We start from the raw sequence: 19,193 nt of genomic DNA, 5'->3' as shown, positions 1-19,193 counted from the left end.
AGGAAAGAGACAAATCCAAGATCACAGAGTTAGTGATTAGAGGACTTAAAGCCTGGCCCATGTGATCCCAAAGCCTACATATCTTTACTATAAGCCAAGCTTGCCAATGAATCTCACATATTACCTATACAATAAGAGAGCAGTAGTCACATGAGGCTATTGAAATTTAAATGAATTAAAATTTTGTGGAATTTACATTCATTACATTAAGTTAATTAATTAATTAATTCCTTTTTTTTTTTTTTTTTTTGAGAGGGAGTTTCGCTCCTGTCGCCCAGGCTGGAGTGCAATGATCTCAGCTCACTGCAACCTCAGACTTCAGGGTTCAAGAGATTCTCCTGCCTCACCTTCCCAAGTAGCTGGGATTACAGGCACGTGTCACCACGCCTGGCAAAGTTTTTTTTTACTTTTAGTAGAGACGAGGTTTCACCATGTTGGCCAGGCTGGTCTCGAACTAGGCGATCCACCTGCCTTGGCCTCCCAAACTGCTGGGATTGCAGGAGTGAGCCACCACATCCAGCCTCATGACATTTAGTTTAAATTCATTGAATTAAAAACTTTATTTTGTAAATGAGAATAAATTGCAAGTTTCTCAGCTACACTGGCTACTTTTCAAGTGCTCTGTAGCCACAGGCAGCTGATGGCTGCCCTGTTGGACTGCGCAGATAAATGCTTCCATCATTGCAGAAAGTTCTATTCGATGACTCGGATGCTGCTCAGATTTATCAGTATCATCATCAATTAAGGCAGTGTTCTTCATGAGTGAGTTTTCCAAGTAAATTACCCCAACCCTTTTATGTTAACTGTTTTGATGAAATTCTTTCTAAAACGGGTAATATGTTTCTGTGCCAGCCTTAATCAGCAGGTTGTACTGAACTGAGTGCCTCTGTGAGGCATGCAGGGTCAGGAGACCACCTGCAAGGCACCGGAATGCCATGCTGGGGAGCTGTGCTTCTCTTCTTCCTGTGTCATCTCAGTTCTCACCTTTAGTCTTTGCTTCTGCAGAGTACCTACTTGCCATTGGCCAAAGTATGGTGTTTGCTAACGCTCTGCCTTTAGCCTACTTCTGTCTGTCCATTTCCTCTCCCTATTGGTTTTTTGATTTTCCAATTCTATGTTTTCAACTACTACTGATTCGCCAGTGACTCCAAAATTTTATGTTTAACTTCCACATCTTTTTCTAATCTGCAGAGCAGTTTTCTTTTCTAGCTCTCTACTAGGCTAGTGCTACTCAAAGAGCTGTCTGTGGACCAGCAGCAGTGGTTCGTGAATTGTGTGTGGCTACTCTAGCACAAGATGAATTTAGAAAGTGAAAGCCAATGCTTGGCATGGTGGTTCATGCCTGTAATCCCAGCACTTTGGGAGGCCGAGGCAGGTGGAACACCTGAGGTCAGGAGTTTGAGAGCAGCCTGGCCAAAAAGGTGAAACCCCATGTCTACTAAAAATGCAAAAATTAGGCAGGCATGGTGGTGTGCACCTGTGATCTCAGCTACTCGGGAGGCTGAGGCAGGAAAATTGTTTGAAGTCAAATCAAGGGAGGCGGAGGCTGCAGTGAGCTGAGATTGCACCAGTGCACTCCAGCCTGGGTGACGGAGAGAGAAGGAAGGAAGGAAGGAAGGGAGGGAGGGAAGGAGGGAGGGAGGGAGGGAGGGAGGGAGGGAAAGAAAGGGCACCAAGGAAGGAAGGAAGGAGAAAAAGAAAGGGCGCCAAGCCTGTGTTTACAAGCTTTTACAGCAATTTGACATCGCTAGGACATTATTGTATTGTATTGTATTGTATTGTATTGTATTGTATTGTATTGTATTGCATTTTATGTCTAAGCTGGAATGAAAATTTAAAAAAGTAAACACACAAGAAATACTGTACCTGGCTCCACCTGGGTATTTCCTAGGACACCCCCCACCCCCCGCCCACCCCCAATGCTCATTGCTATCACCTGTCAGTAACCAAAGTTATTATTATCCCCAAATGCATCAGTCAGGTTTCAGCTGGAAACAGATAATTTAACCCAGGGAACGACTTCCAAAGGTCCTAGAGAGCTGAAAAGGCAAACAACACAAAGTAAATTGACTTAGATTTTGGCAGGAGCAGGAAACTGCTACCACAAGAGCACAGATAAAGGAGATGATGTCCCTGGCACCCAGCTGTTGGACCCAGTGAAGGGACCTGATCAATAACAAGAAAAAATAAGGACTGCTCCCCAGAAACTGAGACCATGGAGGACACATAGATGCTGTCTATTTAATCGGACTGAACTGAGTTAACTTTTGTCTCTGTTACTGACATTGAACAGAATGAAAAATTGCCTGAAGAACTCTAGATTGCCAAATATTATGAATAACCAAATAATTATGCAGATGGGGGTTGAAACTGCTTAGGTTCTTTCCAGCTATAAAACTGATTCATGCTTGGGAACTGAGATGCTGTGTCCACTTGTATGAAATAAATACATGAGCTCTTATTTTTTTTTTTTTTTGGCATGATACTTTCACCTACTTTCAGATTTACAAATATTTTAAAAGGATTATGATGTCAGGATTATGCTTGCGTTGTATGTGGAATAATAGGTTAATCTATGCACCTTTCATATTTTTACAGTATGAAATAAGGCACTAAATATGTGACTTCTTTTTAAACTATTTGTGGTAAGAAAAATTTAGAACATTAGAGTGCTTACTTAATAGAAATATAATCCATCTATTTGGCATAGAGCTCACCAATTCTCATTTTCCCTGGAATCAAAAATCAAGGGTGGCATGAATTACTGAAATCCCTAATTTCATTCAAACCTCTTCCTAATCAAATATTAAGCCAGTTCATTAATAGTCAAAAAATGATTTTTTTCTCCTTTCTACCATTATATAGCAGAGAAGCTAATGAACAAAATAGATAGCAAGCAAGAGAAAACAAGGAGAGAAAGACAAGTAGGGAATATTAGGTTTCTGGGCTACCGATGATACCAACACATCATCACTATTTTCCTCTTTTAAAACAATTTTAAATTATGTACACAGACTTGTAAGTCTTAGAGTTCAAGTGTATTTTTTCCAGAACTTTTTTTTTAACATGTATGTTATGACTTCTAAATGTTTGGTAAAGGCGTAGTCAGAATTTCATGTAGGCATTCTATTTTTCAGTTGTCTGTATCAGTCTAATGGATGAGCAATGGTACTTCTGACATTTGTAGAAATCACCTGCAAATTACAGGAAAATTTTCACAAAATATCAGAGTGCTTTTGGTGTAGATGTGAATTTTAGTTTATTCACCCACTCATCCTCTCTCATTCATTCTGTCACCAAATCTCTCATTTTCAGTGTTTCCCTCACCCATCTCGTTATTCGCATCTTACGATAGCTTTTCCAGTTAAACATGCCATCAAACAACCAGTCAAGTGTATTATTTATTACCACTTCTATGGTTATTCTTCCATTCCCCAAAGAAGTAAAAAAATCAATCTTCTCTGCAGTAGTTTAGTGTCCCCAAATCATTTTTACATATTCACAAATTACACATTTCCCGAATTTTCTGCTAGTTTGACCACTAGCAGCCAAGACTTTTAAGTAGATATCCTTTTCAAAAATCTACTTTTGCAAATTCCCAGCTAGTTTGTCATAGAAGAGGAATGCGGTGGAGGAATTAATAGAGGGAGAGAAGTTAGGAGAAGACAGAATAGGGTAGGGGAGAGAGTAATTCTACTACCAAGCTCATCATTCCACCCAATCCAAAAGCTTCTGAACTATCTGGTGACAATATAGGAAGGCTAAATCAGAGTTTGTTGAATTTTTTTTTTGGGGGGGGGATAAAGTAAACCATATGTTGCCCTTTAGATTTTTTTTTTTTGGTAGAAGTATGGATACACACACACATCAACATAGGCTGCAAAAATATCAATGTATAACTGTGACATTTATCCATATGCACATCTTTCTCTGACGGCCTCTACTTCCTATTTAGTTGTTAGGAGTTTTATGCTAACTAGTAAGCAGAAATTTTAAATATTAACACAATTTTCTCATAATCACGAAGCATAATAACTTCTCAGGAATTTTGGATTGGCCGAATTCCCAAACTCTTAGTAAATGTCATAATTGTGCTATTCTTAGAAGGTCTTCCTGTGTTATTTTGGATTTGATGATGGTTTATTTCTCAGAACTCAAATTCCACTATGCACTAATAAGTTATCCAATGCAATTAAGTACCTGAGGAACAAATATGGTCTCGGGTGGCTCCTTATTAACCTCACTAGACTGTCAACTACATGAGGATGGTAATGTAGCTAACCCCTTTTGAAATTTCCCTCATTACTTAGAAAAATCAAAGCAGCTCACAAAGCTTCATCTGATACTCTTTGAGATAAATACACATTCTGATAGTGTTATAATTACTGTGTCACTTTACATGCAGAAACTTCTCATCCCTAGGAACTGCTATGGAATCTCTGCTTTGCAACATTTCCTGCACAACTGAGTCCTGAGCACAGAACACACTGTTATCATGGAGAAACCCCTAATCTGAGTGCAGCTACCAAAAGCCACGAAGGCATCTTTCCCAACTGAGGACACACATCAGAAGCCAGGAGAGAATGAGAATGAGGGATTATAGCAACATCTGACTCTTATGTGGATTTAGAAAGATTCACAAAGCCACATAATTAAGAATATGAATGGCAAAATATTCTTGTTAATTTCTAGTGAAAAAAAGGTGTTATTTTTCTCTACATCAAATATTATATTTCAGAAAGTAGAGTTGTGATGATGGTCCTTGAACTAAACAATGCGTGAATCACCCAGGCACAAGTGTGGGGCTGGTGGGGGAATGCAGGAAAGTGAGCTTTTCAGAATGCTAGAAACCTGGAGGCAGAGATGTTCTTTGGGTATGCCTCACAGATAACTCTGCTTTCTCCCCCTAGGAGACTGTGGCCTAGGTAATATTTTCTTAAATTGTAATTTTAGGTTTTCCAGAAAGGAAATGTAAGCTTCAAGTATAAAAGAGCAGAGGCAGAAGAACTATTGAGCTTGTCAGATCCTGAAAGATGTTTTCCTAGATGGCCTAAGTTAACCTATAGCTGCATCCGATCAATTATACAGACAGTCTATGTCTTCTATTCTAGACTAATTAAATTGGCCTATTAAACTGGGCTAAAGTGGGTGGATTAGTCAGGGTTCTTCAGAGAAGCAGAACTGAACCAATAGAGATATATTTGTATCTCTTATTAATAAATAAGATCTATTATTATTTATAATACTGTTATAAAATTAACAGTATCTCCCATATAAATTAATACATATTAATTATGGAAATTGGCCTACACTATTATGGAGACCAAGAAGTTCCATGTTCTGCTATCTGCAAGCTGGAGAACCAAGAAAGTTGGTGGAGTAATTCTGTCTGAGTCTGAAGGCGTGAGAACCAGGAGTGTCAATGTCTGAGGGCAGGAGAAGATGGATATTTCCAGCTTGAAAAAAGCAAATGTGCCCTTCCTCTGCCTTTTTGTTTTTTGCAAGTTCTAGTGGCTTGAGTGATGCCCACCCACATTAGGGAGAGCCATCTGCATTACTTGGTTCACGAATCAAAATGCTAATCTCCTCCAGACACACCCTCAGAGACACACCCGGAAATAATGCTTTACCAACTATCTGGGCATCCCTTAGCCCAATCAAATTGACATAAAACTATCACAGTGAGTATGTATACCTATGCACCCTCTTTTCCCATGTGTCTCAGTCTTGTTTGGGCTGCTATAACTGAATACCTTAAACTGGGTGGCTTATAAATGACAAAAATGTATTGCTCAACAGTTCTGGAGTCTGGAAGTCCAAGATCAAGGCATCGGCAGATTTGGCGGTTGGTGAGACCTCACTATGTGATTCATAGATGACACCTTCTAAGTACCCACATGTTGAAAGGGCAAACAAGTTTCCTCAGAGCTCTTTCGTAAAGGCACTAATTCCATTCATATGGGCTCTGCTCCCATGACCAAACTGCATCTTAAAAACCTCAGCTCTTAATACTATTGCACTGCAGATTGGGTATTAACATGTGAATTTTCAGGCGGACACAAACATTCAGACTATAGCAGCATTAGTTGCATTTTCCATGTAGCTTTATAAATACGGAGAGGTTATATTATACAAACATATACAATCTACTCTTTCATTTGCATTTAACCAAGTAAGGTGTTGATGAAGTAGGTATTATGTTTATTTCCCTGTGCCTTGAAGTCTTACAAAAAGGATTTATGTTAGAAAGCATTTTAAAAAATAATGTTAGGTTATAAATCTTGATTTTCAATGTTCTATGTGGTTGAATAGTGTCTAAAAGATACTGTTACATAAAAAAACCCAGAACATATAGTTAATATGAAAGCTCAAACCTGTATTAATTTAGCAGAAGTAGTTAATTTTAACTTCCATAAATGATGGTCTTATTTGGAGACTGAAATATCACTACAAAATATTTTCCTATTTTGAGATGTAATCCTCGTATAAGCAAGACACAATTTTAATGGTTATATGGCAGGACGAGTGACAGACAAGAATCCCTCAGACACCGAATTGTAGAAGGAAAGGGCTTTATTCAGTCAGGAGCATCAGCAGACTCATGTCTCCAAAAACCGAGTTCCCTGAGTGAGCAATTCCTGACGCTTTTAAGGGCTTACAACTCTAAGGGGGTCTGTGTGAGAGGGTCGTGATCAATTGAGCAAGCAGAGGGTATGTGACTGGGGGCTGCATGCACCTGCACTGGTAATTAGAACGGAACAGGACAGGGATATTCACAGTGCTTTTCCATACAATGTCTGTAATCTATAGATAACATAACCGATTAGGTCAGGGGTCAGTCTTTAACTACTAGGCCCAGGGTGTGGCGCCGGGCTGTCTTCCTGTGGGTGTCATTTCTGCCTTTTAGTTTTCACTTTTTTTTTTCTTTGGAGGCAGAAATTGGGCATAAGACAATATGAGGGGTGGCCTCCTCCCTTAGTTACGGTATAGTAGTAGAAATTTAGACTATGAAAAGTACTTAATATTTAGAGGCTTGTCATATATTTTGTGCTTTATTTCTTAATTCTATGTTATGTATATGTATTTTAAATATATAATTTACTTCTCATTGATATATCTTATTTTTCTTTTCTACCAAATAAAATGATTGGTAAGGACCATTGTACATTCTAACATCATGGATTACAACAGATTGACTAAATATCCATAAGAGTTTGAAGACTACTTAACTGAGCAGTGGCACTAAAGTTCAAAATTTTATGATACCTTTTTGTATACTCTCTGGTTTCTGCAGGGCTGCCATATAAAACCACATAGCCTACACTGTTTAACTCCACAGACCATGCCACAAACGGCACCCCCTGGGGTAAGGCTCACAGCAACCCTGGTGTTAAAAATTTGATTTTGGAAATTTTTCTGTCTTTTTCCCCCCACAGAGTCTAATTTCTTCTCAGGTATAACAGACTCAGTGTTGTAGCCGAAAGTATACTACAATCATTTCACAAAATATTTTGTGACTTACAGTGACATTTCTGAAATGAGTCAATGTGAAGCAACTAACTGTGTTATTCATAAGCTTGTAAGTATATGCCAGCACCTATCTATCTATCTCTGTATAAGTAAATGTATTAATGATTTCAGTGAGAGAAACTCTTTACTGTTCTTAATGATCGAATCTGTTAAGCAAGGACAAACCAATTTCAATGCAAAAACTTACTATAATTTAAAAGGGCATTTTAATAAACCATTGCATCAAGAATAGATTAGTGCATATAGACCTCAATCTTCAGCCTTAATTGTAAAAATAAATAAAACAATTATATAACTTATGAAAATGTATTGCATCTATAATCGTGTACATAATGAGAGATTTTCCAATGATCCATTCATTAAATTGTGTAATGTTCAATATGCATAAAATGCAGAAGGCCTGAGGGGAATTATAAGCAAATTATGAAATGTGATTTCTATCTACAAGTAATTTTCAGTTTCTTTAGGTAACTGAATAAACTCAAGAAGAAAACTGGACAGATGAAAAAGGTCAAATAAATATAACGTAAGATCTAACTCAAATAAGTTTCAAATAGGTGGCTTGCAGTCAGGATTATGATAGCTTCCTGCAGGAGACGAAGTTTTCTTTGTTGTTTATTTTGAGACAGGGTTTCAATCTGTCACCCAGGCTGGAGTGCAGTGGCTAGATCTCAGCTCATTGCAACTTCTGCCTCCAGCCTCAAGTGATCCTCCCACTTCAGCCTCCTGAGTAGCTGGGAACACAGATGTGTACCACCACATGCAGCAAATTTTTTTTTTTCTGTAGAAACGGGATTTTGCTATGTTGATCTCAAACGCTGGGCTCAAGTGATCCTCCTGCCTCGGCCTCCCAAAGTGTTGGGATTACAGGCATGCACCATTGCACCTGGTCAGGAAACAAAGTTTTAACAGGACTTCATATAATGAAACCGTTAAAAAAAAGGAAAATAAGTTTCCTCTGGTAGAAAAATTACATTGTGAATTAAAGAAGGTGGAAATAAGAAAAAGATTGCTAACTTCTCTAAAGAGTCCATGATAGACAAAGGTTATAAAAAGGAAAGCAAGTGCATAAATGATGAGAATAAGAATCACTGGTGATGGCCAATAGCACACCAATCAACTGGATGCTCACTTTTAAAACGTTTCAAGAGATTATAGATGGCCATAAGAGTTAATAGCTATTTTTCTTTAACTTTAATATAGAATAGTATTGTTATTTTTTATTTTTGTTGACTTGCACAATTAAATGTACAAATAAAAACAAAATTAAAATATGCCATAATATGAATCATAATTATATGATTTAATATCCAACACATTTTTATATAAAACAATTATTTTGAAATGATACATAAAAAGAACTGTGAAATTTTGAAGAAAAGATTTCAGCCTATACTTTTGAAATCATCTTAATTTAACATTTAGATTAGCATATCTAAACCAAAAGTATTACAAATATTAAGCCCCTATGAAATTTTAAGATTCCCAAAGAAAAATTAAGCAAATAGATGTTTAAGACCTTCTATGTTCTCAAGATTGAATACAAAAAGAAAAGTTTGTTTTGCTTATTAGTAAAATTGACAAGGGACCTTTGAAACTGTCAGAAATTAAATCAAAATTAATTAGTTTTGATTTCTGGGAACCATTTTTTAAAAATATTTTATACTGAGGAACATAATACGTAGGGCATAAACTCTGGATACACTGTACACATTAATTTCTCCTCCCCAATAATAGTACAAACAGTGAGTTATCTAGAGTAGAAAAGTTGAACATTTTCTCTTGTAAGCAAATCTGGTATAGTAATAGCTCAGATTTTTTTTCTTTTTGTCTTTCCTGATGGACAGGTACTCTGTATACTCCCATAAATAAATGACTTCAATAAGCCTAAAGGCATTTTCTCACGTATGTGGGGTTGGAATTTTTTTTGGTTAAGGTAAGGAGAAGGTAGAAAAATAATTTTTTTTTAAAAAAAGAGCTTTTGTAGGTTAAAAAATATTCTTTTAAGCAAATAGATGTTAATTATTCAGAAAAGATTACAGCATATTTTGTGTTTATCATAAAATATTTGCAAGAAAGAATAAGCTGCCTAAGTTACATGATACTGTAACTACACTCTGCACAATGAAGGACTTACTGTATTTTTCCACATGTTGAGGTAAGCCACATAATGTACAAGTAGTGGAATAACTCCAGCCACAAGTATGCCTGTATATTTCTAGTTTCTGTTCCTTTTGATTTACTTGGATTTCTTTCCTCTGTAATGATAAGAAAAATTTCAAAACTCTTAAAAGAGAATCTAAGAATACATTTTTTTAAAAGAGAAATTTCAGGTATTTATAAAGCTACTTCGATAGCAGAAAGAGTAGGAAGTATCTTTGATATTTCAACAAATGACAGGCAAAGCCACTCAATCATTCACAGCAACGCAGCTAATCAAAGATTAAAGAATCTAAAACATTTATATGCTGAAGATAATGTTTGTGTGATTGTATAGAAATAGATTTGGAATTCACAAAGCAGGATGATGCCTTAACAGTTACGTACTCAACAGACTGTAAGCGTAAGTTATATGTAATGTCGTTTTTAAAAAAAAGTTGGAATTAGGAAGAAGACTAGAGGAAAATGCAAAAAGAATAGACATATTGTAAAGAGAGCTCACTCACTCATTCTCTTGTTCATTAATTCACTCATTCATTCAGCCAACGTATATTGCAAAGTTTCAAATGACAATGGAGGTGTGGAGTTTAGTTTGATCAGGTGGTCAGGAAGGGCTCACTGGGGAGTTGGCATTTGAGCTGGGATCTTAGGAAGTAGAAGGAACCAGCCATGTAAAGATGAGAAGAAAGTGAATTCAGGCAGAGGGAATAGCCATTGCGAAGGCTCTCAAGCAGGAATGAGGTAGGTGTGTCTGAGAAAAAAAGAAGTCGAATATAAGTTTAGTGAACAGGGAGTAGTGGCAGATGAGGCTGGAGAAGAGAAAAGCCCATTGTAGGACATTTACATTTTATTTGATATTTTATTTTATTCCTGAGTGAAAAATCATGGAAGTTGTACAATCCCCTTTATGTTCCTGTAAGGTCACTCCAGCTCAGGCATCACAATGGGGAGTGGTGAAGTGATGAGGTGCATAAGAAGTAAAGCTGGGAGACTGGAAACTCCACAATAGTCCAAGGAAGCAGAGGTCAGTCGTTTGCACCAAGTTGGCAGTAATGAATATGAAAAAACATTTAACACATTTAGGTTGTATTTTTGGAGTAAAGCCAAGAGAACTTGAAAATGGATTGTATTGTAGAGGTGAGATGATACGAATAGGGAAAAATGATAAATACTGACAATAGAAAATACAATATAAATAGAAGCTGAAGAAATGCTGGCAGGAAAGGTCTTGGGTATCAAATGATCCTAGCTGAGATCTTAGAAGATATCTTGTCCAACCTCATATTAAAATGCCTACACCATTGTGGGCTGATGGCCATATAACTTCTGGTTAAACACTCCACTGAGGAAAACACCTTTGGAAAGTGATATTTGATTAATGACAGCCAACCTCATTCACTTGATCATAGCTAAATATGAAAGAGTTTTGAGACCTTTTGTTTTAAAAATGTCAATATGAAACTGGAAAGGTATATTTGGCAAAAAATGTTAATTTCAAAGTCTGAGAAATAGCCCTTCTCTTACATTGAAAACAAGAAGTTTTGAAACAGTAGACAAAACCGTCTAGTTTTTACTATCACATTTTAAAGGTAGCAAAGGTAATTGGAAGTAGGTTATAGGAGGACTGAAAAGAGACAGACCCTTAAAGTTTTTATAAGCGCCTGGGTGGTATGATGGAGAACAGGCTGATCAGTTGTTCTGCATTTCTGTAAAGGACTAGGTATGAAGGGGTGACATCAATTAGAAATACAAAATATTCTGTTTTACTATCAAGAACTTCACAGATTTAAAAAGCAAAATACTTCAGTATTCTTTTGAGTACTGTAGCCTTATTAAGTTATAAAACAATTAGTTCTGGATAATCAAGACCATCTATTAAAAGCAGAAGTCCTTATGATTCTCTAATGTTCAAACAGGGTTATTTGTCTAATGAGTGAATTAAAACCCTCCCAATTGCCTGATGTGATTGAGCATGGGCCAAAGTGTACCAGAAATGCTGTTATTTCCTTTTAGGGCCAGGAGGGATTTTATAGTTAGCAGAAGAAAACAGAGAAAGAGATATTTTATCATAAACATAAAAATTTCACAATTTATAGATCATTTTTCTAGTAAAAATGATGATATAAGCTATAAGCTACTAAAAGTAACATAACCTTATTGGATAAAAAAGGCACAAAGAAAACAACTGGGGATTTGGCAATTGAGCTGGCATAAATAAAATAATAAACCAAAATATATTACATTAAAGTTAGGAAGTTCTCTTCATCAAAAGGTAAACCACAGAGTAGGGGAAGACATTTACAATACATACAACTGACAAAAGATTCATATACAAAGTATGAAAAGAACTCAACAGATTTTAACAGACAACAAAAAAAACTGGACAAATACTTCAACAGACATTCACAAAAGAGGATATACAAATAATCAGCATGTTAGTCCATTTTCACACTGCTGATAAAGACATACCCCAGACTGGGAAGAAAAAGAGGTTTAATTAGACTTACAGTTCCACGTGGCTGGAGCGGCCTCAGAATCATGGCAGGAGGAGAAAGGCACTTCCTTAACTTGGTGGCAGCAAGAGAAAATGAGGAAGTAGCAAAGGCAGAAACTCCGGATAAACCAATCAGATCTCATGAGACTTATTCATTGTCGTGAGAATAGCACAGGAAAGACCTGCCCCCATGATTCAATTACCTCCCATTGGGTCCCTCCCACAACACGTGGGAATTCTGGGAGATACAATTCAAGTTGAGGTTTGGGTGGGGACACAGCCAAACCATATCAATCAGTAAGTACACAAAAATCAGAGAAATGTAAATTAAAACTACATTAAGTTACCACTACACAATCATCAGAATGGCTGAAATTAGAAAACAAAAAACAAAAAAGCGAACAGGTTATAAGATGACTGGACTTTGGATACACAGTAGGTAAGAGTATTAATTTTTACATGTACTTTGTCAATGTCTACTAAAATTTAGCACACTCGTATTCTAAGACCCAGCAATTCTGTTTCTAGATATACATCAAAAAACTGCATGCATAAGAATGTTCATAGCAATAACATTTATAAGAGCTAAATAATGGGGATAAACAAATGTCCTCAACAGTAGAATGGATAAGTCAGTTGTGGTGTATTCATACAATGTAATAGTAAAGAGCATGAGTATAAATTAGCTACTGATATGTGCAACCACAAAGGTGAAACTCACAAACACATCATTAACTAAAAGAAGCCAAATACAAAAGAATGTGTACCCTATAATTTCACTTATGTAATGTTTAATAACAGGGAAAACTAATCTATGGTTTTAGAGTCAGGATAATAGTTACTTTTGGGGAACAAACTAGCATTTGTAATTGGGAGACAGCAAAGGGGGAGCTTAAGAGGTTCTAGCAATTTGATGTTTCTTTAATAGGTGGTTGTTACATGAGGGTTCACTTTATAATTCAGCAAGCCTACATTTAAGATTCGTATATTAAGTTATACTTTAATTAAATATATAAAATGTAAATATGTATTAAATAGCATTTTAATTAAATATATCTAAGTATATGTGTGCATGAAAGTTATCTTTCAGTTAAAATTTTCTAAAAGATATACAAAGAAATGACTTAAATAACGCTTTAAAATTTTTAATCAGAAACATAGCCTATTGCATCTCAGAAAATATAAAGTTGCATATAATTGAACAAAACAAACAAACAAAAAATCCTGACAGAAACAGGTTCTAAGGAGATCTCAACAAGTTGGAACAATAAAACCCAATCTACAGAGTGAAGTTTAATTGGTATAAGTATAAAGTCATCCTCATGTGTTTATAGGAGCAACAAATAACATACCCTTAAGTAGCCAACAGCACATGTAAAAGAAATCCAAGGGTTACGAGTGGGGAGGTTGAAGTGGTTTAAATATTGTCTAGGTAGTAGCTCCTAAGTGATTCCCATTAACCTCTTTCTAAAAAACCTATAATGATGCTAAGAATAAAACAAAAAGACCAAAACTGTCAACCTATTTCAAAAGTGAGACAACACTCTGAGATAATTTTCCATAAAGTATTAAAAAATCAGTGGCATTGAATTAGAATTGCAATTGCTAGCCTGAAGCTATTTGGTCAGAAGAAATGGAGCAAAGCTATTGGCAAGAATAAATGTTGCATTCTTGCAACAAGAATAAATTCAGCATTTTCTCCCTCACTTCCTGCCAACTGCGACAGAAAATGAGTCTGTACCATTCAGAGAACAAACAACGGCCTCCCTATTTGATCTCTTCACTTTCACCAATAGCTCTCTTTCTAGCTTGGAGACTGCAACCCCCTGAAAAGAAGAAGGAAGGAAGTTGAATATGGGACCAGCAGCGCCCACTCTAAGTCTAGGCAGAGTCTAGATGTGAACAGCCTTGTCTTTGTGAATGGTATGAAATAATCTTCTCAGAAAAATAGGCGTTAGGAAAAAGAAACCCCCATCATATTCCAGTTGAACTTCATTAAATGAAAACCTGCTAGACTTTGATAAATGCAATGAAGGCAACAATATAAATTGATATGATAAATTCTCTATGGGGGAGAATCTTGCTATTTAAAATGGGGAGCTCAAGGAAGCCACTTCAATAAGTGATCTTTGAGTTGAGATCTGAATGACACAATGAAGCCAGCCAAGTGAGTGGAACATTCCTGGCAGGGGAAAAAACATGCATTATAGCCTCATTTAAAATAGCGTAAATTTCTTTGATGGCTTCCTACTGTCTTCAGCATAAAACCCAAACTGCCCAGGCTGCAATGCAGTAGATGTTAAGTAAAGACATGAGTGAATGGATGGTTCCTGAAATTTCTAGATAGGATTGATCCATAGTATTTCTCTTTAGTCTCCTGGCATCTTTCTCTTTGTCCTCGATTTCTTTAAAAAAAAAAAAAGTCACCACTAGTAGTTCTAAAATAGAATTTGCTTAGTTTTTTGATAACTTGGACTGGGAGACATGAATCTCAGCCAGGACTAGTGTGAGACAAGTGAGGTGCCCAGGGCACAACATTTAAGGAGGCTCTCACTCTCAGGGTGGTGCAAATGCCACCCTCAAGGGAAGAGGCAAGTAAATGGACCTGAGAGAAAAGGTAAAGAATGTGAATCTATTTTGTGTTCCCTGTGAATGCTTACTAAAGAGCAATCTCAGCAGAGGAGGAATGAATAATCAGGTGAAGAGGATAACCCTTTCTATGGATACCAGTCAGCTTCATTCCCCCAGCCATCCCTGTCACTGCCTTGTGGGCTCATGAAAAAATGACCACAGTGGCAAGGATGGCAGTTATGCATAGGATCAGCAACATAAACTTCCGCTCACCAGGTCTGACCTGGCTACTGCCCCTGCTGGGTGCCCTATCTCAGAAACCAACACTGAGCTTCCAGTACAGCACCATTCCCCAGGGTGATGAACCAGCTGCCTGGTGGCAGGTTGATCACATTGCACCACTTCCATCATGCAAGGGGCAATGGTTTGTTCTCACTTCAATGGACAACTACTTAAGATATGGATTTGCCTTTCTTGCCTGTAATGCTTCTCCAAAACCACCATCCATGGACTTACAGAATGCCTTATTCCACACAGCATTGCTTCCATTAAGGAACCTACTTCATGTTGCCCCAATGAAATGTGGTAATAGGCCCAGGCTCATGGAATTCACTGGTCTTACTCTGTTTTCCACCATTCTGAAGCAACTGGTGGAGGGGCCTTTTAAAGACTTAGTTATAGTGTCAGTTAGGTGACTGGAGAAATTTCCTCCAGGATGCAATATATGCTCTAAATCAGTTGCTTCTTCCCAACCCAAGAATCTAGAAATCAAAGATTGGAAATGTCTTACTCTGACTTCTAATGATCCATGAGAAAAATCTGTGCCTTCTATTCCTGCAACTTTAGACTCTGCTTACCAGAGGACTTAATTACAAAATGAGGAAAGCTTCTATCAGAGGTTACAATTGCCTTGAGCTGGAAGTTGAGATTGTCACCTGGCTACCACAGGATCCTCAAGTCTTTGCCACCAGGCAAAGAAGCTATTACAATACTAGCTGTGATGACTGATCACAACAATTAAGGGGCAATTAGGTTGCTACTTCACAGTGCAGGTAGGGGTAGTTTGTCTGGAATGCAGGAGATTGCCTCAGGCACTGCTTAGTAATTTCAGATTCTGAGATTAAAGTCAACGGAAATTCAAAAACTTAAAGCAGGAATGCTAATGAACAGACCCTTCAGGATTGGAAATTTTGGTTACTCATCAGGTAAGGAACCATCAACAGCTGAGGTGCTTCCTGAAGGCAAAGGAAATGTAGAATAGGCAGTAGAAGAATTTAGTTAAAAATGCCAAGCTATGACTATGTAACCAGTTAGAGGTCTGAGTACTGCAATAGTTATGAGTATGTATTCCTTATTCTTATATTTTTATTTTCTTTCCCTTTCCCAGTCTTCTCCTTTCTAACATGTGTTAATAATAGTTAACTTTATCTCAGTATCTATGTCTTTGACTTACAAGACATCAAATGAAGAGTGTTAATCATCTGGAAGGAAGATAAACAATCTAAGAAAAAGGAGGGTCTTTACGGCTACTTTTGGGGAAATAATTACCTTGATTTTGTTGTGTGGCTCATGTTTGGTTGAAAGTAATGTTATGATGATTTATATTTGAAAGCTAAGTATGTTTTAAAGAGATATGTATGGATGACAAGTTGAGAAGGAATGAGCTGGGGTGGTTTTGCAATGTGTCAACTTTGCAAGGATGTACTGTTTCCCAAGATTCCCTTCCCTGTATAATTCCAGTTACGGAGAGCCACAAGACATATTTTCATGTAAGATTTGGAATGCAGAAGTGAAGCAGCAGCTAATTTGTATATATGCTTGAGAAGTTGGAGTAGACACCTTTTGTAGCTAACTCCTATTATTGCTGCTCATCAGCTGACTAACCTCACAGATGTGGGAAACACCTAGGCCTGCAACTGCTCCCTTTTCCCTTGAATCCTCTTTCAGCTTCTACTATCGAGCCAGTTGTGTGTTGATGTCCATGATTCAGGGTGTCAGCCTCTGTAGGACACACATTGCATTCAGGTGAAGGTAATGAGAACTATATGTCCTTACAGATTCCAACTTATCTTTATTCTTCCCCACTTTACAACTATCTTCCCATCATGATTTCCTGCCCTGTTCTGTTTAGGTTGCAGCATTAAACACAAAGACAATAGTCTCAAACTCCTACAATCGCATTAGATAAAGTTTCTGTTGTTCTGACTCTCTTTTTGAACCCTGGCTGACACTTGGGAATAAATTGAACAAAAAAGTTTCAAGACCTTCACACTGTAAGCTACAAAACATTGCAGAGAGGAATTAAAGAAGACCTAAATAAATAAATGGAGAGATATATACCATGTTCATGGATTGGAAGACCCAATACGGTGAAGATGTAAGTTTCTCGAAATTGATATAAGTTTCTCCAAATTGAAGATGTACATTTCTTCAATGTAATTCCAATAAAGACTCCAGTGTGCTTTTTTGTAAATATTTTAAAAGCTGATTAAAAAAATATATATTTATATATAAATATTAAAGTATATATAAATATATAAATATGTATAAATATATAATATACAAATGTATTTATTTTTATATAAATACATATTTATATATTATATATACTATAGATTATATATTTTATATAAATATATACTTATTTATATAAAATAAATAATCTATAATATATATATTAACATGCAATGGGCTGAAATAGATAAAACAATTTTGAAAAAGATGGCCAATGTTGGAGGACAGTTGGAGGACTTACCTTATTTGATTTTAAGGCTTTCTCTGAAGTTACAGTAATTGAGACATTTTGGTATTAGTGAAAAAATTAGCACACATACTAATGGAACAGAATAAATAGTGTGTCTGAAATGTAGATGATTTCCAATGGTACTTCTTATTACTTCCATGTTCTGTGAATAAACCTACATGTATGTTATCATTTGATTTTAAGCAAAGATGTCAAGGAAGTTCAATGGTAAGAAAGTAAATCTTTTTAACAGATGGTGTCAGAACAACTGGATATCTGTGTCAAAAAAAGAAAAGGAATCTCAACTCTTCATATCATAAACAAAAATTAACTGAAAATGGGTCATAGTAATAAATATAAAATTCAAAACTATAAAATTTCTAGAAGAAAACACATGGAAAAAAATCTTTGCAATCTTGAATTAAACAAAAATTTCTTAGGCAGATCACTGAAAGCATGAAAGACAAAATAAAAAATGGATAATTTAGACTATATCAAAAGTTAAAACTTTGCTCTTTGAAATACACCATTAAGAAAATGAAAAAGGGCCAGGTATAGTGGCTCACACCTGTAATCCTGGCACTTTGGGAGGCCAAGGTGAGAGGATCACTTGAGGCCAAGAGGATCACTTGAGACCAGCCTGGGCAACATAGCAAGACCCCGTCTCTACAGAACATTAAATAAAAATTATTTGGGCATAATGCCTGTAGCCCCAGCTACTCAGGAAGCTGAAACTACAAGAATTCAAGGTTACAGTGAGCTATGATCATATCACTGCACTCCAGCCTGGGAGGTGGAGCAAGATCATCCCATCTCTTTTAAAATAAAAGGAAAAAAATACAATGGAAAGGTAAATGACAGACTAGGAGAAAATGTTTACAATATATATATTAGACAAATAACTGATACCCAAAACATACAAAGAATTATTATAACTAAGAATAAAAGAAAAGCCCAATTAAATAAGACTTTCATGTTCAGTTCAAAAATGGATGATATGCACATTAAAAGATAGCCACCATCATTAATCATGAGGTAAAGGTAATTTAAAACAATATTGAAATACTGCTACAAACCCAATTGAATGACTAAAACTTAAAGACTGTTTCTATCAAGTGCTGGTAAAGATATGGACCAACTGGAAATCTCATGCACTGCTGGTGGGAATGTAAAATGAATTTGTCAGGAATGTAAAAATGTTTGGAAACAATTTGAAAGACTCTTAAAAAGTTACCAAACATCTCAGCCATTCCAGTTTTACGTAATCACCCAAGAAAAACATAAGCATGTGTCCACATAAAACCTTGTGCATAAATGCACATAGCAACTTTGTAATAGGCCAAACTGAAAACAACCCAGATGTCTATCAGCAGTTGGATAGCTAGCCAAATTATGGTATATCTGTACAATGGAATACAACTCAGAAATGAAAAGCAACAAACTATTAATGTATACAACTACATTGATGATTTTCTTTCTTTGTTATTTTTTGAGACAGGGTCTCACTTTGTCACCCAGGCTGGAGTGCAGTGGCATGACTGTAGCTCACTGAAGCCTTGAACTGGGCTCAAGTGATCCTCCTGCCTAGCCTCCTGAGAAGCTAGGGCTACAGATGCATGGCACCATACCGGCTAATTTTTAATTTATTTGTATAGACAGCATCTTGTTATGTTGTTTAGGTTGGTCTCAAGCTCC

At 36.5% G+C, this 19,193-nt stretch overlaps 1 long non-coding RNA gene across 1 annotated transcript, besides 1 other annotated feature; it reads right to left on the bottom strand.

Moving 5' to 3' along the window:
- Positions 1–6,555: 6,555 nt before the first annotated feature.
- Positions 6,556–12,324, bottom strand: LINC01602 (long intergenic non-protein coding RNA 1602). The gene is made up of 3 exons (NR_130934.1): positions 12,198–12,324; positions 9,668–9,788; positions 6,556–8,416 (listed from the first exon to the last, which is right to left on the bottom strand). It is a non-coding gene; the product is annotated as a long intergenic non-protein coding RNA 1602 (long non-coding RNA).
- Positions 15,503–16,040: an enhancer, noted in NCBI's record as "NANOG hESC enhancer chr8:58887201-58887738 (GRCh37/hg19 assembly coordinates)". NCBI's record gives its function as "activates a minimal SCP1, AML or CMV promoter by ChIP-STARR-seq in naive H9 embryonic stem cells {active_cell/tissue: H9 hESC(naive)}" and the evidence as "EXISTENCE:reporter gene assay evidence [ECO:0000049][PMID:30033119]".

The sequence above is a fragment of the Homo sapiens genome, chromosome 8 (assembly GCF_000001405.40).
Source record: "Homo sapiens chromosome 8, GRCh38.p14 Primary Assembly".
In the NCBI taxonomy this organism is placed as follows: Eukaryota; Metazoa; Chordata; class Mammalia; order Primates; family Hominidae; genus Homo; species Homo sapiens.
This window is presented reverse-complemented; position numbering and strand designations above follow the sequence as displayed.